Source organism: Homo sapiens, chromosome 6 (assembly GCF_000001405.40).
Source record: "Homo sapiens chromosome 6, GRCh38.p14 Primary Assembly".
Taxonomy (NCBI): Eukaryota; Metazoa; Chordata; class Mammalia; order Primates; family Hominidae; genus Homo; species Homo sapiens.
Window position 1 is genome coordinate 147,158,396 of NC_000006.12, and position 24,326 is coordinate 147,182,721.

A 24,326-nucleotide genomic window follows, 5' to 3' on the forward strand; every position below is an offset into this window, starting at 1 on the left:
CCTACTGTAACTAATTTTCACAGAAAGAAAAAGTAAAAAGTCTTACACTGTTTATTTTTTTCATTTTGTTATTTTTGTTTGTTTGGTTTTTGTCTAAGCATGGAAGACCAGTTTATCCTAGTAGTACAAGGTAAATGAGTTTCCTAAAATGGAATTTTTCTTTTTTATTATCTTTGCAGACTGGCTAAGAAAATTTACAAATAATCTGCCAAGTCACAAGTTATTTTATTAGTGAAAGCCAGCATGTAGAGCAATGAAAATGCAGTATAAAAAAAAATTAAAGTCTTAGCTGATAGCACCAAGATACTAAGCAAATATACATAAATACAAATCCCATGATCTTGCCCTAAGGAATCTATTTGTCTTATTTTCTTTCAGCTTCTAGCACAGTGTCTGAAAATGGTAGCCACTCAATAAATATTTGTTTAACATATTCTGGTAAAGTGAATAGAAACATTCAGAGAAAATAGCTAGGCTTGAGCGTGGTTAAGGCAAATTTTCTTCATTATTTTCTTTTCTTTTCTAGAAGGCAGAAATGGTTTCCGTTCAGCAAATCCACACCAGCAATCCTCTTACAGCAAATTTCCAAGTAAGTATAAGTTTTCTTAAGATGTTGTGTGGAGAAATCTACTGTTCACAGTCGTTAGAAAGCATTTTGATGAGGCAGACCACAGCTTCTTGAAAGGGATATGAAGTAACCTGAGTTCTGCACAACAAGCTCTTAACTGTACCTAACTGCTTCTTGCAACAGGGTTTTTGGTGAAGAACAATTCTCCAAGGAAGAATAAACATGCAACCATTTTTGCATGATAAGTTCTTCTTCTGATAGTATTTGTAGCATAGACACTTTATAAAACTCTTTAACTCTTCACCATAAACACTTAAAAAATGAACTCTTAAATGCTTCGTTTTCTAGACAAAATATAAAATTGAGACCGGGAATTCAAACTAAACTGTAGGACTAATTCATCTAGTGACACTTTGTAAATTCTTTTTCTTCCCTTCTCCCCCCAAAAATGTGATAAACCGTAATTTTCAACTTGAACAAAGTAAGTTAAGGGGGTGTGGTAGAGACAAATGATAAATTTGAATTAAGACTAAAATACAAACACAAGGTCTGAAAAGCATTGCTGTTTTCTCTCCATTTGTTTAAGTGGATGAGTTGTATGTTGTGAACCCAGGAAGGAACACAGTAAGCAATGTGATCATGATCCAGTTACAATCAGAACCCGGAAAAGCCAGGAGCCTTTGCCAGATAGGTAGAGACAGGAACCACCAACAGGAAGGCTTTTCCAAGCAGAGAAAATGCTGGTGCAAGAAGAAAAGGACTCAAAAATTACTGAGATAGAAAGATCAAAGGTGATAGATCTCAGAGATGGGAATGTGAGGAGTGTGAAAGAGAAAGAGATAGCTTACTGTAGGAAAATAGAGGAAAATTAAACATAAATCTGTCCATTTCAAAGAGAAATCCATGGGACTCAAGACAAGGAATGTAACTACAACATGGCTGGTAGTGGCCCAAAGCCCTCCCATCATATTTTGTAGTTCCTGAGGGCTTATCCTTTCAAAACCTTTTATCCGTTGTCCAGGCATCTACTTTACAGTGTTTATTTCACTCCATGTCAACCTAAACAGGAACACTTGGCATCAAGCATTATCACCAGTTTTCATAAAAATCACACTCACTAAAACATTTCTGAGTTTAGTAGAAATCTAGTAATCATCAGAGCTGACAGAAGAAGAGATGAAAAGATAGAAATCCACACCACACTGCATTTTGCCATTTGACTGGCTTCCTCTTACCTTCCTATCTTCTCCTCCCTTTCAGGAGCAAAACAACAAAACACACTTTCTTATCTTACTCAGAACAACTTATCAACACCATTGAAACCTTTATACCATTAACATTTAAGCCTCTGAATTTTGAAGCTTAAGTATGAATAGAAAGGTTAAGTGAAGTATTGACAAGTTGAAGGAAGGAGAGGATAGTTTTAGAAGCAGCTTTTTACCAGTAATTGTCAATGCTTTCTTCCAAAGTATAATATGTGAATATCATGTTTTTACTTCATTACATGTATCAAATTTCATAGGTATCTTATGCATTCAATAAATTCTTAGTTTCAAAGAATATTTTGAAAATTCTTATATGACAAGATATAAGCTGATGTAATATGCCAAATTTTATAAAATTAATAATTTATATTCTTTAAAATGATTTTGGGAAAATATACTAAAATATTAAAATATCTCTGAATGATGAGATTGTGGGTAATTATTATTTCTTTCTTTAGAATCTTCTGCAAATGTTTTACCATGCAGAAGAGTTGTTTTTTACATCAGAAAGAAAAATACAAGTGCTATTTTTAAAGATGTCTTAGGTCACACTCAGCAAAATTGTTTTGATAATAAAGTGATATCTGGTTAGTTTGACAGAAAGCAAATGAGGGCATTGCAAGTCTTCCTTTAAATGTGAAATACATACTTCACTTGTTCTTTAAACCCAAGCAATTTTTTTTCTTTTAGACACGAAGTTTAATAGGAATTTGATTTCTCCTTGAGGAACTCAATCCTTTCAGAATTTAAGCACACACCTTACAAAATACATTAGGTTAAAGGAAAAAGAGAATGAGAAAGAAATAAGTAATATATGAACTAGAGACACAGCAGCATATTTCTTAAAGTCTTTTAATATAAAATTTTATTATGACAGATTTAATCTAGTTATCTAGTTACGAGGCTTGGCTAAAATCTTTTAGAATTAGGTAAAATGATGAAATTCTACCTAAGAGCCATCTTTTTAAAAGATTGCTTTCTAAAAGCAGGCTGTATTATGATGGTCTCACTTTTATACTTGTTGGTTTGTCTCAGTGAATTTCACAAATATTGATGATGAAAGTATCAACCATAACTTCTCTTCCTATCTCTGAAATTGACATCCTCCATACTCTGCCTAAATCCCTTGCTAATATGGAAATAACTAGCTGGGTATCCTTAATCTTTAAAATAAGCATATTTAGGGTATCATAGTGCCATTGATTCACTTATTCACATGCTCAACAAATATGTATGTTTAATATATGCCAGACAATGTGCCGGGCTCTGACAGTAATGAGATGAATAAGAAGAGTCCCTGCCCTTAAGTACTCCATATTCCACGGAAGACACTCAGCACATTCGTAGGAAACCAAAGCTACACAGTTTCTTGTTTACCTTCAGCCCTTAATTCTACAATTAATGTATACTTTTCACTTAAAAAAAATATTGCTACTGTCTTGAAAGAATCAAGCCTAATTTCTTCCCTCCTCCTTTTCTTTCTTCCTTCCTCCCTTTCTTTCTTGTATAAACTCTATACCTGCACTGTGGGGTATGTTAGCCACTAGCAATTTGTGGCTATTGAGCACATGCAATGTGGGTAACCCAAACTGAGATATACGGTAAGCATAAAAAACATACCTGATTTCTATTAAAAAATATAAAATATCAATAATTTTTTATATTCATTACATGTTGAAATTATATAACACATAGTGGGCTGAATAAAATTGTTAAAATTAACTTCACCTGTTTTTTACATATTTTAGTGCAGCTACTAAACAATTCAGATTTATTTATGTGGCCCACATTTTAATTCACTAGTGCATTGCTCTAAATGCACTCAGTTTGTTACTCGGGGTGGGGTGGGGGGTGGAATAGAGAAGGCTATCTCCTCAAAGCATATTTGTTTAAAGCATGATGACATATGTTTTACTGTTAGTTGTCAGTTATGAGGGTCAGTTCATGTGAACAAGCACACACAGTGCTGCCGGAAAAGAATTGCGTGTGAGTCACTGATAGTTTTCATGTATATTATGATGATTATAAAATACAGCAGAAAGTAATGACTCACCTCCATCTTTTTTATCTTTAGGAATAGGGTGGGAAAAAATTTCTTTTCTGCCTTAGTAACGCATTTCACATTATAGAAAATAAATATTTATAAAACTCATCAACAGATCTACTCTTGTACTTTTTATAATTTGCACTTAATTGGGTTACTTGGTATTTTAAGTACAAATTCTATATATGTCCATATATATCCTTATACCAGAGTATAACTGCTTATTATACATACAATGACCATGAAAACAATAAGAATGAAACATTACTTCTATCTTCTTATAAGTAGAATAAATCAAATTCTCTTCCTATTTGCTGTGATTCAGGGTTAGTATTTGCAGTTTTTCTAGGTTAAATGGATAGAGTTTAATGAAATGTCAAAATCTTTAAAGACTCACAGCACATAAAAAAGGACATTTTCAGCAAGATAATTGAGTAATACATTTTCATTAAATGTATTCAATTTTTATTTAAAAACAGTAAAATTTCTAAACATTTTTTAAAAATGTATAGTGCTTATATTTTTCTCATATATAGTTTATAGCGTTTATAATTTCTGCCACATTATAAAATATCCTGTATGACTTGTACAATGATCATTTCTACAATGGCATGTCTCTAAGATAACAAAGGTGCTTCTCAAATAATTTTGCACGTAACAAAAAAGACCAAAACACTCCTCAGTATCATCTTACCAGAATCTATGCTCATTATAAGTCTCACCTTAAATTACTTTGAAATAAACCATAAGAGCAGGCAATATAAAATATAATCACCTTCAATGTATAAAAGGCACATTTAAAAGGAAATATGTGTGCATACTCTGTTGTCTGATAGAATAATTGTCTTTAATATTAGATCATAATAAGTAAATCTGGTTTTTGTTTTTTTTTTTGAGATAGAGTCTTGCTCTGTTGCCCAGGCTGGAGTGCAATGGCGCAATCTTGGCTCACTGCAAGCTCCGCCTCCCGGGTTCACGCCATTCTGATTCAGCCTCCCAAGTAGCTGGGACTATAGGCGCCCACCATGGCGCCCGGCTAATTTTTTTTTTTTTTTTTTTTTTTGTATTTTTAGTAGAGACGGGATTTCACCATGTTAGCCAGGATGGTCTCGATCTCCTTACCTCGTGATCCGCCCACCTCGGCCTCCCAAAGTGCTGGGATTACAGGCGTGAGCCACCACTCCCAGACAAATCTGTGTTTGTTTTTTTTTTTTGACAAAATCTCTAATTATCTTTCTCTCGAGAAGTCCAAAATGTGATTCAGTCATTGTAATCCTGATCAAAATATTACTTTAATTTGCGTAACATTGAACAGAAAATGACAGTTTATTCATTTTATGTATTCATTCATTTCGAAAATTTTTACTGAGCATCTAAATGCTAGACAGTATGTTAGACCCTCCAGATATAAGGAGCAAAATATTATGATCCTTGTTCTCAAAGAACTTAGAGAAGGGGAATTAGATATTTCACAAATAATCTCACAAATAAGAACATAGCTCCACAACATGAAGAGTGCAATGTGCAGCTTTTATAAGAACGTGGAAGGGAGGGAAAGGGGGTTACTTTAGGATTAGGGAGTTAAGGCAGGCCTCTCTGAGGGCATGACTAGTTTGACTGGAAGAAGAGCAGGATTTAGTGGGTGAAGTGTCAGCATCTAGACAGAGAAAACAGCATATGCAAAGGCCTCCAATGCAAAAGAACCACATGCATTTCAGGTATTGAAAAGACTGTGGGTAGCAGATGCCACCTGAGCCAGGGGGATGATGGAGATAAGGCTGGTGAGATGGACAGAGGCCAGATCATTCATGGTCTTATGTGTAATTTACTGAGACAATTGGCACAACCTGAGTGGGGTCTGAAGATTAGAAGGTAGTAATGTTAATTTAGTGGTGTCTTAATCCATTTTGTGTTGCTATAACAGAATACCTGAGACTTGGTAATTTATAAAGAGAAGAGGCTTATTTAGCTCATGGTTCTGCAGATTGGGATGTATAAGAGACATGGAGCCACATATCTGCCTTGCTTCTGGTGAGGGCATGTGCTAGGTCAAAACATGGCGGGAAGGTCAAAAAGGAAGTGGACATATGTGAGAAGGGAGAAAACATGTTATTATGAAGGAAACTTACATTATAACAACCCACTCTAGTGGGAACTGATCCAGTCTTGCAAGAGTAAAAACACATATGGCCGCAAGAATGGCACCAATTCATTCATAAGGGATCTTCCCCTATGACCAAAACACCTCCCACTAGGCCCGGCCCTGTCACATTGTGGATAAAATTTCAGATGAGCTTTGTGGGGGGCAAACAAACCACATCCAAACCATAGCAACTGTTTTTGATGGTTGTATGTTGTATTTTGTACATGTAGAAGGATATCCTTGTTTGTAGGATATGGGATATATACATTGAAATATTTAGAGTTGATGAGACTTTGTATGGGTAACTTACTTTCAAATCGTTCAGTGAAGAAAAAAAATTTGTATGTTACTTTCAACTTTTCAGTAAGCATATTTCCAATTTTAAAAAGAAACAAAATTGGATAATGAAAGTCCCTTTCTCCTAGTCATCTAATAGTTTTCCATTCCATTTAGAATTAAAACAAAAAAAATCTGAACAGAATCATGTTAAAGTATTTAAGGAAATTTGATCTGTGGGACAATTTATCATCCTTATTAGACACAGATGGGTATGTTTCTCTTATAGCCAGAAATAAGGTATTTGGGAAGAGTTGTTTTTAATCCAGCCTTCTAACTGGGTCTTCCATAGACAGACTTCACTGTGTGATGTCTTGAGACAGGGAAAAGGAAAAACAGGTTCTGATTGGGTGAACAGCTAGAACAGTAGAGGTTGTCTCAGGCTTACCCATAATACTTGTAGAACAATGGAGGCCACTTGCCAAATGTTGGAATAGTTTAAAATTATAAAGTGAGCTAATAAGCTGATAAAATACGTCATATCCTCCTATCCTGACAATATACCATCATAGCCATCGAGAGGGTAAATTTAGAATTTAGAAATAAAAATTCAGAATTCCAACTCCTTAGAATTCCTCTCTGGAATATGGATGTCAAGGGAATGTGGCTCATTCGCCTTGAATTGCCACCTTAGGTTCCTGCCCATGTGTAAAGTCTATCTCTCACCATAGTGAATTATTGTAATTCTATGTTGCCTCTGCATCCATTTTGAATATAAGCTGGACTTTCTCACACAATGTCCAGATCTACACCTCCTCCCAGTTTCTCAATGTGGTTGATCCAGATATCCGCCATATAAAACTGTCTCCTGGTGATCACATACCTATGGGACAGCTACATATAGCCTCCTTGACAGGCCCTGCTGATGCTCACACCCCACATGGACTGGGCAGATATGCCACAGTGACCACTTCTCACAGAGTGACCTCCTGGAACTTGACCCTGATTGCCTTAAACCTACCAATTAAACTCTCCACAGGAAACATGGTTGGATAACAGTGCTGGACCTAAAAAAGGTGTTGGCCCACGAGTGCCTCTCTCTCCCTGCCTGAGCTCCCTGACCAGCATGCGTGTGGCCTCCAGGTGTGTTGTCTACCCCCCAGGACCTGTAAGTGGGAAACATTTTTATTTCCTTCTTGTATCATTCTTAATCATCGAAGAGGTGGCTCTTCATCTTAAAAATCCTAAATTAACACACACACACACACACACACACACACACACACACACGTGGACACCACCACAAAAAAAATAAAAACCTGCTTTCTTTGCATTGCATTTGGGTGTAGGAATAAACTGTATTATTCATTCATTATCCTAGTGATTCTCTTGGGCTTTTCATCATGTTATTTTTTTTGCATAACATTTCAGACCTTCTGATAAATATATGCATTCACATCTAATGGTGTTAAACATAATAAACATTAGATGTTGGCTAAACATCTATAGTACTGTTTAGATAGGTTTTTAATTTTTTATTTTCTTTTTACATAATAATAAATGTGTCTCTTTTCAACTTTTGTTGTTCTTAAGTCTTTAAGTTCTAGCCAACTTTATAAATTTCCTTTAGAAATCATATATATTATGTATGAAAGACTCAGTATACAAATACACAATGGCCAGGCCATATATAAAAACAGAACTCTGGCTCAGCAACCAGCTCAGGAAACCATACTCTTATCTACAGTAACCATCCTGGGAAGCCATTCTATTATCTGTAAGTCTGACTTGTAGGAAGTCAGATGACCATATCTAGCAACCAGCCCCGGAGGCCAAACAATAAGCCCTTTAACAATCAGCCCAAAGCAATTAGGGGTTGATTAATAACTGACAGCTTCCCTAATTTTTGTCCTGGCTTCCAACTTAGGACCAATCAGAGAAAGCCAAATATGCTCCCTTCGCCAATCACAGGGCTGCCCTGCTTCTAGTTAGCCCTCTGACAGCTTCCTCATGCCAGCAACCTCCAATCAGAGCCTAAGTGAAGACCTCTTTCTTCCACCACAATGCTTTCTCACTCCTCTGCCTCCCTTTGAGTCTCTGCCAAAACACAAGTGATGGTTGCTGATTTTTTTGCTATAACAAGCCCTGAATAAATAGTCCCTGCTTATTCTCATTTGGTTGGACTTCATTTATTTCCACATGTAGTAAGCAGGCAATGATAGTTTTCATGCTTAATATCATTTACTGCAATGAAGCAGTTGGCAAATTTAACAGTAACATATGTTTGGTTAATATATATGTATTTATAATTCACTGAAATAAATTAATATTTATCATTTTATCATACAAATTTCAGTTGGACTTGTTTCCTTTATAGAACTCGCTATGACTAGAGTAAAAATGGAATTTAGACTGCTAAAGGAAAATATTCACAAGGCTTCATTCATTTCCAGAGTTAGCAATGAAAGCAAACTTTTCAATAGTAATTCATGCAATTTTAGATTCTTTGGTTTTGCACATAAAGATGAGTCATCACCAAAGAGATTTTTATGTAGTAAAAAAATACATAAAGGCTTTTTATATAATTTTCTTAACAAAAGGGCATTAAATCTGAAATTATAATTTATTACAGAAAAAGCATTTGGTAAGTGGAAGAAAACAGCATGATACTTAGAATCATGGGATTCTAACAGTCAAAATTGAAAAGTGACATGAGTTCCCAGATATCCTCTCAGTCCTTATGGTGAGCTGTTTATGATCTCTGTGACATGAGGACATTTTAAAATTCAAGCCATGAATTAGAAGTCATTCTGAAGAAAAAGTAACTGCTGAATGCTAATTCCAGTGTTTTCTATTTTCTGCAGATAGCAAAGCCATTTCCAAATTGCAGCAGTCTAGCCCTCTCTCCTTAAGTACACGTCTTCTCCCAGCCTTCCAAATCTCTCCGAAGCAAATTTTTTCAACCCCTTCCTACTTCCACTGTGCCAATATTCCTCAAATAATTGATTTTGGCTGTGTACATCAGAATCATCAAAAGGTGCCTGTGAAAATGCAGTCATGGGCTCCATTTCAGTCCTTCTGAATCAGAATCTCGGGGGGTGGAGCTCAAGGAACTGCTATTTTTACAAGCACTCCAGATGATTCTATGCATATCCGAAGTTGAGAATTACCATTTAATGTAATGATCTACCTCAGAAATCTCATAAAATATCTTGGATTTGCAGATAGTCTGATATACTAATGAAAGCAAAATATTTTTTCTTTGGTTTCTTTTTTGAAATTCAATTGGTTTCTCTAACTTCTGATAAGAAATATTAGATAGCTCACCATCAATCCATAGCTCAGGAAGAATAAAACCAAAGTTTTCATATTTGCCACAGATAAGGCTCCTCCCCTTACCTGTCAATCAGTGGCACTCTCTCCTAGTTATCAGCTACTCAAAATAATTTAAATGAATAATCTTTGACTTGGGCTTTCATGTTTTAAATCCAATTAGTCACTAATCACATAAATTCTCCCTTCATTAAGAGGCTGACTGTTGTCAAATCCATCTTTAAGTTGAAAACCATTACCTGAGCACCTACTGTGTGCTAGGAAATGGTGATATAAAGATTAATCAGACATGATCCCTGCTTTGAGATCCTCACAGTCTAACCAAAATGAGATATCATAAATAATCCTCCATGCTAAGTGCTGTGGTACCCACATGTCAAAAATGCTGAGAGTTCACATAGAATGAACCAATTAATGATTCCTATGGGGTCTGTGAAAGGAGCAAAGTGGAGGCAATATTTGAGCTGATATTTTTTAAAAACTAAGTAGTTCACCAAAAAGACAGTGAGAAAAGAACACTCAAGAGAGAAACTAACAGGAATGAGAACACAGGGATTAAAAAAAAAAAAGAGGATTGGACAGAAGGGTCCTGCCTGTGTGCTGGGGAATGACTGCAGTGAAGCCAAGAAGGTGTTCTGTTGCAGACGGTTTTGTGTGGCATGCCAAATTGTTTGAACTTATTCTGTAGGCAAAGGGAGCCACCAGAGGGTTTCATTTTCTTATTTCTAATTAAATTTTTATGTTTATAAAAAATACATACATATGATTTTAAAATTCAAATACTATTGCTGTCCTTAAAATAAAATCAGTATTTCTCTGTTTCACCTCTTTCCATCCCCAAGTCTTTCCTCCCTCAGGCATCCACGGTGTACACTTAAAGCTGTTTTAGTATTTACCTTCACATTTCAAAATAAAATGGAGCACTGAAGAATTTTCATTGTAGAATCAACAAGTGCTTGTATCAAGTCTTTTCTTTTGGCCCATTTCTTCTGCAAAGAGGAATTATCTGGTCTCCCATCGAAGGGCATAAGCCTAGTTGCCAAGAGGAAGGAGACTCAGCTATCCTACTGGGTATATAGACTCTGCCTCTATCAACATACATTCTAGCTACTTGACTTCTCCCTGGACAGCAGTCCCTGATGCTTAACCTATCCAGGAGACTTCTTTTGATCTGAAGTTATAATAAATCATATACTATCAAATAAGCCAAGACATTAATTTTGGCTTTATTCTTTGACGATCCCAAGTTACCTAAATTTTATACAGCACCTAGACTGGTTTCTATCAGTTAGATGAGGAAATTGAATAGGACCAGAGTGACGGTAAGGGTTGGTAAATGCTGAAGTCTTTCAATGCCAGGGTCATTAATCTATAGCCTGTGAGCCAAATCCTATCTACTACCTATTTTTGTACAGCTCATGAGCTAAGAGTGGTTTTTATATTTTTAAGTGACTGGAAAAAAAATCAAATAAATATTTCATGATGCATTAAAATTATATAAAATCCTTATTTCAGTGTCCATAAAGTTTCACTGGTGTATGATCCTCTTTAGTTTTTACATATTGTCTACGTCTGATTTTATGCTACACTTGTGTAATTGAGCAGCTATGACAAAAGAAAGCCACATATCTTGCAAAGTCTAAAATATTTACTATCTGGCTCTCTACAGAAGTTTACCAACCCTTATTCTAGAGCACTTAGTTGGAAACAATGTCAAGAGTCACAGGTGAGCAGCTTTAGGCTAGGTAGTTTGGCCAAAGGTAAGAGTCAGATCCCTAGCAGAGAAATTGAAGGGAAAGAAATCAAATGTGTTTTCTTTCCACTGGATTCTCTTTCATTCTTTTTGAATAGTCATTTTTTATGGTTGATATTAAGCCTTAGAGCATCAAACCTCAGCAAATGTCAAATGCTAATAATTCTCCATGGAACTTTTCATTTCAGTTTCTGATCTCACCGTGGTCTACATCGTTATTGTCTACAGCACTTACCATATATATTTTTAATTATCTGTATATGTATACAATCTGTTTCCTCACATAAATTGTAAGCTCCTGGGTGGCTGAAAAGCAAAACATAAACAAATGATGCCTTACACTGTCATGTATTCATGTATCTCCAAGGCCTAGAACAATATATTTATGCCAATATGCTCACAAATGTTGAAGATGATGATAGTATGTTGTGAATTACCTGTACTTTTCTTTCTCAGGGAAAAGAAAATAAATCCCTACAAAAAATGTTTCCACCTTGTAAGAATTCCAACTATATAGATTTTTGACAGGGCTGAACCTATTAGATACTAGTCTGGGAGTTTGTTAAATACGCAATAAAACATGTGTTTCACTGGTTGAACTGGCTGAAAAAAGACACATTTGGAGCTATTTTGATTTCCTTCTCTTTGGAATTCCAGTCCCACCTCCTCCAACCCCCACATGCATACATGGGCATCTTACTCACTCCATCCAAGTACATTTGAATCACAGAAGAAACTTTTTGATTGTGAAATAAAAGCAGAGAATAGTTTTCAAATGAATATGTGCTGAGCCATAAAGTGAAAAGAAAAAATGCAAAAATACTTCTAGTCAACATAGCTTATATTTCTAATTTTCACCCAGGACACTAGAGGAAAGAGTGAACTGTAGTTTTCATTTAACTCACTAAGACACCAATATGGCAGTGTTAACCTTTTCCCTCTTGTGTCTTCAGTATTATTTAGTTGATACAAATTGTTCTCATTAGGCCGGGCACCATGGCTCACACCTGTAATCCCAGCACTTTGGGAGGCCGAGGTGGGCAGAGGTCAGGAGCTCCAGACCAGCCTGGCCAACATGGCAAAACACCGTCTCTACTAAAAATACAAACATTAGCTGGGCGTCGTGGTAGGCACCTGTAATCCCAGCTACTTGGAAGGCTGAGGCAGGAGAACCACTTGAACCTGGGAGGCGGAGGTTGCAGTGAGCAGAGATTGTGCGATTGCACTCCAGCCTGGGCTACAAGAGTGAAATTCGGTCCCCCCACCCCAAAAAAAGAAGAAAAAAAACCAAATAATTTGTTCTCATTAGGCCGTTAATGGACTTCTGGCTGGTAATCTCAATTGGAACTGGTTGTAGCCATTCACTGTGCAAGTGACCAAGGTGCTGTTTACTGTGGTTTAACATTTGGAAGGAAAGGAAGCAGGCTTATAAATAATTGCTTAATGGTTCTGTCTCAATTGTAATTCTGAAAATTTAAGAGATCCAAATAGTATCACAGATTTCCCTTTTTGGTATTAGATGAAATAATTGAAGATATTATAAAACCTTAACCACTGATATCATCTGTATATTGTGTGAAGGAAGCTTTGGTATACTCGACTTAAAAACACTTCTCTAAATTGACATACTAAAAGTCAAGTTGCAAGGAAGAGAAAGCCGCTAGGCCAAGGGGACACACACCAATTGGACAAACAGCAACAGAGCTTCAAAGGGTCTGAGACAGACTTTGAGGAATAATAGAAGGGGGAAAAGCAAATTGGCAATTTTTCATGAAGATAATCATTTCATTAAAATCTTGCCATCACTTCCCCTTTGGTGCCAGCAGACTGATACTAAACTGCTATGGAGACACTTTCCTAGCATGGGTCACAAACAACATTGAAGGCAACATAAATTTAGGATGCTTGCTACTTTGCTAATCATTTTGGAACTCAAATGTGAGGAAACATTTCTTCATTAATATCAAGAACCCAATTCAAACTTCTAAATATAACAATGAGCACAGAGAGGGTTCTCCATAGTAACGTTGAAAATCCTTCATTGCTTTAATCATATCCCCAGTCAGGTTATAAGTTGCAATAATGAGCTGAGAACCTGGCATGTGGTACACGCTGGTAAATACCTTGATAGTGAATATATGAATGAACCAACGACTAAATACCCGGAGGTTTGGGTATATGACTCCACAGATCCTATCAGTGCAAATGTTTTAAAAGCATAAAGTACTTTGTATATATCATGGACAAAGGTAAACATTTTAAAGTTACAGTCCAAAGCATATTTGGTTATGGAATTCTGTATGGGATAGCTCTTGTTGAACAAGTTTCTGCTTTGAGACAGGATCTCAATCTGTTGTCCAGGCTGGAGTGCATTGGCACTATCTTGGCTCAATGCAATGTCAGCCTCCTGGTGCTCAAGTGATCCTCCCACTTCGGCCTCCCAAGTATCTGGGACTACAGGATAGCGTCACCACACCCAGTTAATTTTTGCATTTTTTTGTAGAGATGGGTTTTCACATTTTGGCCAGGCTTGTCTTGAACTTGTGAGCTCAAGCAATCCACCCACCTTAGCCTCCCAAAGTTCTGGGATGACAAGCATGAGCCACTGTGCCCAGCCACTGAGCACATTTCTAATCATGGTAAAAATAGCAGCAGCACATTAGAGAAACAAGTTTGTCCATTTCTTGTTCGGCAGACATTATGAAATTAGTGTCTATTCTCATGATTACTCTGATGGATACTATTTTTTTTTTTTTTTTTGGAGAATCAGTAATTTTGCATCCTTGGGAGAAAGAGGGATTTGTGATATTGCTACAGAATCTTTTTTCTCTTCATTCTGCTAACATTTTGATCTTCCCTGGAACAGTACACAGATGAAAATATTTCTTTTTATTATTGTGTAGTGTGAATAATAGAACCCAGAACTTAGAAATTACACTGTTCTCCATGAAAGCTGAGAAACTTGCTTGAGGGCACACAGAAAATTAGAAAAGGGCCAGAATTAACTTTTATGTTCCCCATAAAGTCTTAATGTTTTACGTTTTATGTTTTAATCTGTCTCTTATTTCTTTTTTGCTCATGATAATGCTTGGCATTCATCCCTTAATTCCTCTTGGATATGCAGCAGGAATAAATGCCTTTCTAATCTAAAAGCCCCCCTTCCGAAATTCTCTTTTACAAGTTGCAATAATTGCTTTGTTTCCATTTACTCCTTGAACAATGTTTTTGTCCAAGTACCACGAAATCAAATGTTGAAGTGACCAGGCAGGTAAAATACACAAATGAAGTGGAACCCATGTAGATGGGATCGGAGTGACCCTCAACCCATTTCTGGGAGACCAGATGGTGGGGACTGTGGGAAGCTGGTGACACAAGCCCAATGTAAAGGCTCTAATTTTCGGAGAGAACAGAAATTCAGGTTCGTATATAAGGCTTTTAAATTTTATTGTGTTTATTTTGGTAACTAATTAAAATGTAAGATACTATAAAGGCCAAAACTAAAGACCAAACCAGGCTTGTCTGTGGGCTGTCTCTACGACAGCTCACTTCCTTTTTATAGTGCCAGATTCAGCTGCTGGGGGGCATTTCACTCTGTATTTGAACTGGCTTCTAATGTATCAGCAATAAATCACATTAAAGTAAATCTAAGAATGTTCTCAGTAATGCCAACATAGATGGATTAACTGTACAGCCTCCCCGGATGTCCGTTTATCAGGACAACTAATTTTACATTGAAAGGTAGTGTTATATACTAGTTAAGAACATAGCCTACGGAGTCACATTGCATGGGTTTGAATCCAGGCTCTGTTACTTACCAGCTATGTAACCTTGGGCAAGTGATTTAATTTCTTTGAGTCCAAAGTTTTGCATCTGTAAGATGAAGATAATGACAGTTATCATGGCAATTATATGAATATATATACACACATGGATCTATAGTACTTAATATCTAAATTAGCAATATTTAATTATTTGCTATTATTCACAAGTCATAGTGTTGGTGAAAAATAACAAAATTTTACATGTTTATGTCTCACCATATAAGGCCTCAGATAACTTTCTCCTTCAGACAGAACATGTGGGAGAATAAGATCCCTGTGGCAAAATCCCATTCTTTGTCCTTAGCGCCAGATGCCATCACTTCTTGGAAATGTCATCATTGCATATTTCTCTGAGAAGAGATATAGAGTGAATTTTTAAAATACTAAAAATACTAGGAGTTAATAGCATGTCAAGTTATCTTTTTGCTTTTCTCTTTTTGGAGATCATCCATTTTAAAGTCAGGGACATTCTGTTTCAGAGTTGCAAGGCAGAAAAATCAAAGGACTTTTATTTTCCTCTTTTATGGGTTACTGAAGCATGAAACTTATTGACAGATGCTAGCGCTAGATATAAGCTGCCATGCTGTTTTCCCCAAGTTCATTTTCACATTAAGTTATTCTGGCAGTTTTAATTTTTTTAAGGTACCAAGAACCTTTTTAAATGCCTAGAAACGGAGAAAACAGAAGGTCATATCACATCTAAATCTATTTTACTTAATCATATAAGTTTGTAAATAGTAAACGACACAAAATTCATTTTTTGTAGCATAAATATCTTTGCCCACTGATGAAACTCAAGATGTGCTCTGCCCTTCAATGATTATGTAACTTCATTTCCTGTACTCCTACAAATACATAAAATTATAGGACCTGCGCTTTCATTCTACCAAATTCTCTCTTTCCAAAGCAGAAGACCATCATAGGCTCTCAAAAATAATTCTGGTTGATTTTATGAAGATTGAGAAGAACACTTACTTCCATTCTGCTCTCACAAAGTGCTGTTAGGAAGTGGTCTTATGCCCATGCAAAATCCAACCCAGAAGCCAAGAAAAGCAGACATGCAGAAGCACAGAATCTCCCAAGATGGGAAGGCACATTAAAAATAACAATCTATACGCATGCTTGCACACATGCATGCACACACACACACATTTAACAGAATCAAAGGTCAAAGAAATGCTACACAAAATCTGTAACTGGGTGCACAATGGCTCAAACCTAATGTTAACTGATTAAAACAATTTTTCTATCCAGTACTATGTGTTTAGGAGCTGCTAGGCATATATCAAAATTGGATAACTTAGAACATAAACTGTTTTCCTCTCATATCTATTTCAGAATTCTCAGAGTTTCTCAAATATGATGGGTAAACCGCCTGCAGAAAAATCACCCGGGGCCTTGTTAAAACTGGAGATCCCTGAGCCCAGCCCTGCAAGATGGAGAGGAGATTTAGAATTCGGGAACATGTTGTTTTAATTCAGAACTCAGGGAATGGTTATAAATATTAAAGTTTGAGAACCACTGACGATCAGGATCTGTTGTGTACATTAACACAAGTGGAATTACTGTAATAGGGAAAAACACTTCTACTTAATATACCCAAAAATGATATACTTTAAAAATCTCAAACCTGACTTCTTAAGCTGCTTTAAAGAATGGTTTCTCTGTACATTCCAAATGGACTTTCACATATTTGCCCTCAGTGATTTCTCATGTAGCTTTGAATCCTGGAGAACTACCCAATAATTAGTCTTAGAAACCAGTGAAGGTGGCCGGGCTTAGTGGCTCACACCTGTAATCCCAGCACTTTGAGAGGCCGAGGCGGGCAGATCACCTGAGGTCAGGAGTCTGAGACCAGCCTGGCCAACATGGGGAAACCCCGTCTCTACTAAAAATATGAAAGTTAGCCAGGGGTGGTGGCGGATGCCTGTAATCCCAGCTACTTGGGAGGCTGAGGCAGGACAATTGCTTGAACCCGGGAGGCAGAGGTTGCAGTGAACTGAGATCGTACCATTGCACTCCAGCGTGGGCGAAGAGCATTTTTTTTTTTATTTGAGACTGTCTCACAAAAAAAAAAAAAAGAAACAAAACTAATGAAAGCATTTAGCTTATTTTAGGTGTAAGGAGTTGTCTTTTAGTGTGCTGAAAACAGAAGTACAGCAAGCATTTAATCTTGCAGTGTTTCTTAAAAGAGACTTTAAATGCTAGAGCATTTCAAACCAAAAGAACAGCAGAAATTGTCATCTAAAGGTAATGTTTTTGTATCCCACCATTTTTATTACTCTAAAAGAAAAACCATAATTAAAATTAAGCACTAATATAGGTTAGAGTTTAAATTGTATATAATATTTAGAAACATGACAGCTTCTAAAATGCATTGAACCAGGACATGGTGTTTCAAATATAGAAGGTCCACAGATAATCAAGAATTCTAGCTTAAGTTTGGTACTCTTCTTTGTCCTGGGGCCACTATTTCCCATCAGTGACTTTTGGTACAAACCTGGTACTCTATGCACTCTAGAGGTGAATTGGGGGTTTTTTTGAGGTTTGATTTTAAGACAAAAAAAAAAAAAAAACCCTGTATGTTTTAATTTAAAACAATGACTGGTAAATTCTCAAGGATGCATGCCCAGTGTTTCATTACAAGGGTGCTATTTCTTGTTTTCTGAAAATGCATATTACATTGTTCTTGTATTACTGCTATAGGGTACTATCTCTGCATATTATATTTCTAGTATTCATAGTTCATAGTTCGTGATTCTTAATTTTGCCACATTGGAGTTGTTTTCTCAATGACAGCCTTTTAGTCAACTAGATGCCCTGCCTTCTACCATACTCATGATGTCTTACAGGCAATTGTGAATGTATTTGGAACAGCCAAAATTAACTTAATAGTCTAAATAGCAGAAGAAGTTAAATTTATTCTTCTAAATTAATGTCACTAGTCCATTTAAGATACTGTGTATCTGTAGTGTTCATCATACATGTTATCACTTTCCCAAGTATTTCTTGTACACTGTCATGTAATAAATCTATATCTAAAGTCATCTTACATTTTGTTTGCCATTATATTAGGACAGAAGTGGTATTTCAATAATAGCTTTCTGTAAATATTTGTGGAAAGAACTTAAACTAGATAGGGCTGGTTAAATGTATCCTAAATCTGTACTTGATTTGTTCCACAGGTTTCATCAAACCTTTGGTTAAAAAGTCCTGTATCTAAAATTTTGTTGGGAAATGAAGGCTGGGAAAATGCTATCTGATTCACTGACATTTAGCAGGAATTAATGACCAGTAACAATCAATCTCCCAGGAGACAAATGCAAGGAACCAGGTTCTTTCATACCTGGGTCGTTATGCAAAGAGATAACTTGCTGTGAAACTCTACACCTGGGACCACATTTTTACACCTGGTCAGCTTCACACTTCTTACCAGCAGTTCCCTTCTCCAAAGCCCATTCTGGGTCAAAGAACAGAGCTAACATTTACTTCTATATCTAATTTTCTTTGAGCCCTTATTTTGTGCCAGGAGTTGTGCTAAGCTCTTTACAGTACCATTTGCTTGTATAATTATTAAATCCAATTTTACAGTTCAGAAAACTAAGATCCTATGCTTTTAAGGACTGTGGCATATAACTGGAAGCATCCTTTGTTGTATAGACAAAACCAACCACCAGCAGTATAATATCTTTGGAACGACAACTCACTGCAGTCAACCCTTGCCAATAATTCTACTGTCAGATATTGATAAGGTTTTCTTAAATATAAATCCTCAGCATTTTCAAAGTGTACATTTGATTGTTACAACTCCAAGATAAGCATGAAAGAGATTATGATCCTTACTTTAGGAATGAGATAACTGAAGGGAGAATGCCAGTCAATTGACTCACACAAGATTATGTAACTAAATAGCAGAACTGAGTCTAGAACCTTGGCCTTCTGATGACTAGAAATATACAACTATATGGAATACAAAACTGAGCTGAAAGGAAAAGGTAGAGAAACAAAGCAAAAATATGAGCTTTGAACCACATCGTAAACATAAAAGAAAACATTTTCTGAAATACTACGCTTGAGTCCTCAAAAAATTGTAAGGCTGACCTTCAGAAGGCTAGTTGCTAAGTTCCTTGATTTTTTATTTTTATTTTTTTTAAGATGGAGTCTCGCTCTGTCACCCAGCCTGGAGTGCAGTGGTGTAATCTCAGCTCACTGCAACCTCCATCTCCCAGACTCAAGCGATTCTTGTGCCTCAGCATCTGAAGTAGCTGGGATTACAGGCATGCCACTATGCCTGGCTGGTTTTTGTATTTTTAGGAAAGACAGTGTTTCACCATGTTGGCCAGGCTAGTCTTGAACTTCTGACCTCAGGTGACCCGCCCACCTCAGCCTCCCAAAGTGCTGAAATTACAAGCATGAGCCACCATGCCTGGCCCCTAGTTCCTTGATTTAATAATTTATTCAATAACATTATTTGAGACACAGAACACTTTTTCAGCTTATTTTTGCCATTCTATGCTGACTGCAGAAAGAATTGATTTGCATATGATCCTTAGTTATCAGTCACTGTATTCTGGACTGTATATTATATGAAAGTCTTCATCTGAGTCAAAAAGGAAAATCAATGTTATTTTTAATTTTTGAAGTTAAAAATGTACAGAAGACCAGCACCACAATTCCAATGGTTACTTTATTAATCAGTATCATTGGGTTATTTATTATAAAAATTATAGTGAAAAAGAAAGTTAAAGTATGATGTAAACTTTCTTTTCTCTGACATCTACAAAGACTTCTCTACTGAAGTGAATCAATCCAAGCTCAAATTCATGAGACAGCTGCTTCTTGCTCAGTTAGGTTGAATGGTTTGTTCCATTTCTCTCCAAGCATCAGTTCTATTCTTCTCTTTGAAGATTCACTTTTATTGTTCCTGTTTTTTCTATATTCTGTCTGATTTTGCATGTGTAAGCTTTTTTTTTTTGTCTTTTTTCCTTCCTAAGGCATGGACTCTGGACCCAAATTTCCATGCTTTACAAGTCTAGCACCCATATTTACCAGCCATAATTTTGTCTCTTCATTGAAATTTTCAAGACATACCAACTAGTCTCAGCCTAGTCTTTGAGCATGTTCTAATCAGATGTGATAATCATGGTGAAAGATTTACATAAATAATGCCATTAAAGCCCATCAAGTCAGGATAATACCCAAAGAAAAGAATATGAGCCAGGCAAACACCAAAAACATGTCTACTGTTAACATTTATCAAACATTATCCTAGTTACCACAACAAAGAAAAACACAGGATTTTCTGGAAATATACAGAACATACATTTAAACCACAACAGAAACCATCATATAAAGTTTCTAAAGGAGGTAACATAGGAGCTGAGATTTGAAAGATGGATAAAAAGTTAGGAAAAGACAATGAAACAAGGAGTTTCACACAAAGGAATTAACATGCATAAAGATGTATGACACAGTTTGGCATCTTGAAAAAACTACAGGTATTTCAATATACCTATCCATGACTCTCTTCTGTCTCTGCTTGGAGAAAAGCATAGAAGTTTGAGGCCAAATGTTTCCTCTTAAGTGAGGGACAAGTTGCACATAGTCCTAATCATATCATATATGTGAGAACCACCAGGTGTCTATGTCTACTGCAATGGGATCAAGAAATGTAATCCCTAGCTTGCTTGACACAAATCAGCTAAAATTCTATTATGGAAAAAGGAATTTCTAGCAATCCTTGCTATAGAACAGTAGCTGGAGAGGTTAAAGCCAGTGAAGTGTGGATTAGATAACCTAGGAAGAATGAGTAAACTGAGAAGAAAAGGACAAGGACAGAACTCATGTATCTTATTAGTCCTTTTCAGGCTGCATGAGAGACATCAGTTGGATTCCAGATTCCCTCATCTCTTTAAAACATCAGGAGACATATTTCTTACCTTGCTTTTTTCTTGAGCTTTTGGTGACGTGACTCCCAATTGTCTATTTCATAATATATAACACTGTGGTAAGAAATGACCCCAATTCCAGTTATATTTCCAGAATTGTCACCCCCACCACTAACAGCATGCTGCAGCTTTGCCTTCCTGACCTTCTGCTTTATCTGCTGAGGAGATCAGCTGAAGCACATAGAAAGCATATTATAAAACATTTGCATAACAGATGATTTGTAGAGACAACTAGTAGATTGGCTAAACCAGGATTATAGGGGTCTGAAAAGAATGATGGTTTAATATTAACAAGATAAAATTTCCTAGGCATACGTGCTGTATAGTTTTAAAAATCTGAATTCGTAAGAGGTAGAAGATCTTGCTCAACAGTTAATACGAAAAGACCTTGAGTTTTATTTAACCACAAGATCAATATTCCAGAACACTATGATATAATTGCTAAGAAAGTAAAGCAGTCTTAGGCTTTATTAGTTTGTTAGCACATACCACAAAAAACAATGGTACACAAAACATTGTATACTCAGCTCTTAGGCATGCCATTCTCATATTTACAACTTACAATCACATTTGACTTCTTCCCCCTTCCCACCACATCCAATTAATGTCAAGTCCCATTTATTCTAACTTTTTAAAATGTTGTGATCCTTATGGTATTGAACTGGAATTTGAGGCATCAGTATGAATTCATTATGTATAATTACATATTACATACTACAAATATGTATTTGATAGAGTTATAAACGTGTGTGTGTGTACATTTCTTAGCAAAAACAACACAATAGCAATGAGCACATCAAACACTCAGATCTATTTCTAAATATCATTTTTCACTAGACGGGATCAGGGATCCATAAAGAAGTGGCCACATTTAGGGCTGGGGCTTGGAAACTGTAAAAAGAGCCTGGAACATTTTATTGTACAGAAAGTATTAAAACAATAATGGGGACACGTTAAAAAATATATACAGAATCCAGTTTAATGGATATTAAAACTGGTGGATGAAATCATGTTTGATGAGCAAGGAGATATTTAGGAGATATTTACATAGTTTCAGAGTAATCTCTTATAAATTATTAATTACAAAGAGAAAAATAGTAACTTTACAGTAGATTTAGCAACCAAATTTATTTAAGTAATCAAAGTTAATGTCGCTAATAATGAAACAAATTGACATTTTAGGCCAAGCACGGTGGCTCATGCCTGTAATCCCAGCACTTTGGGAGGCCGAGGAGGGAAGATCACGAGCTCAAGATATCAAGACCATCCTGGCCAACATGGTGAAACCCTGTCTCTACTAAAAATACAAAAATTAGCTGGGCGTGGTGGTGCATGCCTGTAGTCCCAGCTACTCGGGAGGCTGAGGCAGCAGAATCGCTTGAACCTGGGAGGTGCAGGTTGCAACACACTACTAACTCCAGCCTGGGCGACAGAGCAAGACTGTCTAAAAAAAATAAAAAAAGAAAAACACATGAGACAAAGTAGCAAATGTAAAAAGTCACGTTTGTTCATTTTTGCTTGCCAAGATAATTTCACAAAGCCGCTGACTCTGGGACGTGCAGATCTCTGAAAAGACGCTTTGAAGACAAAAAAGGATAGATCACAAGACCCCCCCATGTCTCTTGCCTGAATCACTGTATTCTTTAAAAGATAAATGACGCTATTCCTTGCCTCTTCCTACACGAGATAATGTCTGATAGGGTTAGTGATTGTACCTCTGTATTCTATAACCTTTATACCCAGACCTTCATGTGATTCTGCATTAATGTAACTTCTGAGCAAGTTTGATGTGATTTTGCATGTACTGAGACCCCAGCACCTGTGTCTAAGTAGCGGGCTGAAACCCTGTGCTGGAGAAGTCTGATAAAACCTCTCTAAAATGCTGTTCCCAAGGTATAGGCATCGGTAAGATATTTGAATGAAACTAACTTTAATTCTTTAAAAGCTCGTTGTTTTTCCTTAGTCAACCAATACAAACCTGAAGATAATTGCAAGGAAACAAAAATCCAAACTGAAGGACATCCTACAAAGTTACTGGCTTTACTCTTCAAAAGCACAATCATGAAAGAAAAAGAAAGGCTGAGGAACTGTTTCAAGTTCAAGGAAACTAAAAAGACATGACGACTAACACAGTCTGTTATTCTAATTGTATCCAGAATCAAAAAAAGGATATTATAAGAATTTGTGAAATTTGGGTAAAAACTATGAATCATGGCTGGGCACGGTGGCTCACGCCTGTAATCCCAGCACTTTGGGAGGCTGAGGCAGGTGGATCACAAGGTCAAGAGATTGAGATCATTCTGGATAACATGGTGAAACCCCATCTCTACTAAAAATACAAAAATTATCTGGGTGTGGTGGTGCATGCCTGTAGTCCCAGCTACTCAGGAGGCTGAGGCAGGAGAATTGAACTCGGGAGGTAGAGGTTGCAGTGAGCCAAGATCGTGCCACTGCACTCCAGCCTGGTGACAGAGCAAGACTCCATCTCAAGGGAAAAAAAAAAACAAAAAACAAACAAACAAACAAAAAAACTATGAATCTATGAATCACATAACAATATTGTTGCTAGCTGTCCTGGTTTCGAAGGAGGTACTTTGGTTATGTAAGACAGTATTTAGGAAATACATACAGAAGTATTTGTGCAAAAGAGAAGACACCAAGAGAAAGAAACAAATGCTAAATGGGGCAACATATTAAGAATTGCTGAGTCTGGGAAGAGGATATAGAGGTCTTTATAATATTTTTTGCAACCTTTCTGTAAGTAAAACATTATGTTAAAATTAGAAACTAAAAAAGTTTTGAATCTGACCCCAGTAGTTAGCAATAGCTTGTTTCCCGAGTCTGGTAAATACTTCCAATGAAAAATAATAAATCCATAATCCATTAATCTAGCAACTTCCATCTGCTATGTACAAATTTAAAGAACGGAAAAGATTTTCAACTCTTGTTTACTTTAACATGGTTGTTGTTTGATATAATTTTTTATGTTTTAACTTATACCAACCAAGGTGATCGGACCATCATCTAGCAATCACCTATGTAGTCAGCTTTCAATAATGGAATTTCAAAGAGAAAGAAAAGTAGAAGTCTAGATCTAAAAGTTATGTTTTAGGATATTAAATGTGATCCCATATAAGCTAAAAATATGCTATAGGCATGACAATATCTTGGGGCA

The 24,326-nt window shown here is 36.3% G+C and overlaps 2 long non-coding RNA genes across 2 annotated transcripts in view; one reads left to right on the forward strand and one right to left on the reverse strand.

Moving 5' to 3' along the window:
• STXBP5-AS1 (STXBP5 antisense RNA 1) overlaps positions 1 to 24,326 on the reverse strand; it is a 363,227-nt gene that overhangs the window by 317,008 nt on the left and 21,893 nt on the right. Inside the window, exons 2-3 of the long non-coding RNA NR_034115.1 lie at positions 15,420 to 15,553; positions 15,198 to 15,252 (exon numbers count right to left, since the gene is read on the reverse strand). This is a non-coding gene — a long non-coding RNA (STXBP5 antisense RNA 1). The remainder of the gene's footprint in view (positions 1 to 15,197; positions 15,253 to 15,419; positions 15,554 to 24,326) is intronic.
• Positions 530 to 22,597, forward strand: LUADT1 (lung adenocarcinoma associated transcript 1). Its single transcript, NR_132442.1, has 3 exons — positions 530 to 589; positions 7,336 to 7,464; positions 22,334 to 22,597. It is a non-coding gene; the product is annotated as a lung adenocarcinoma associated transcript 1 (long non-coding RNA).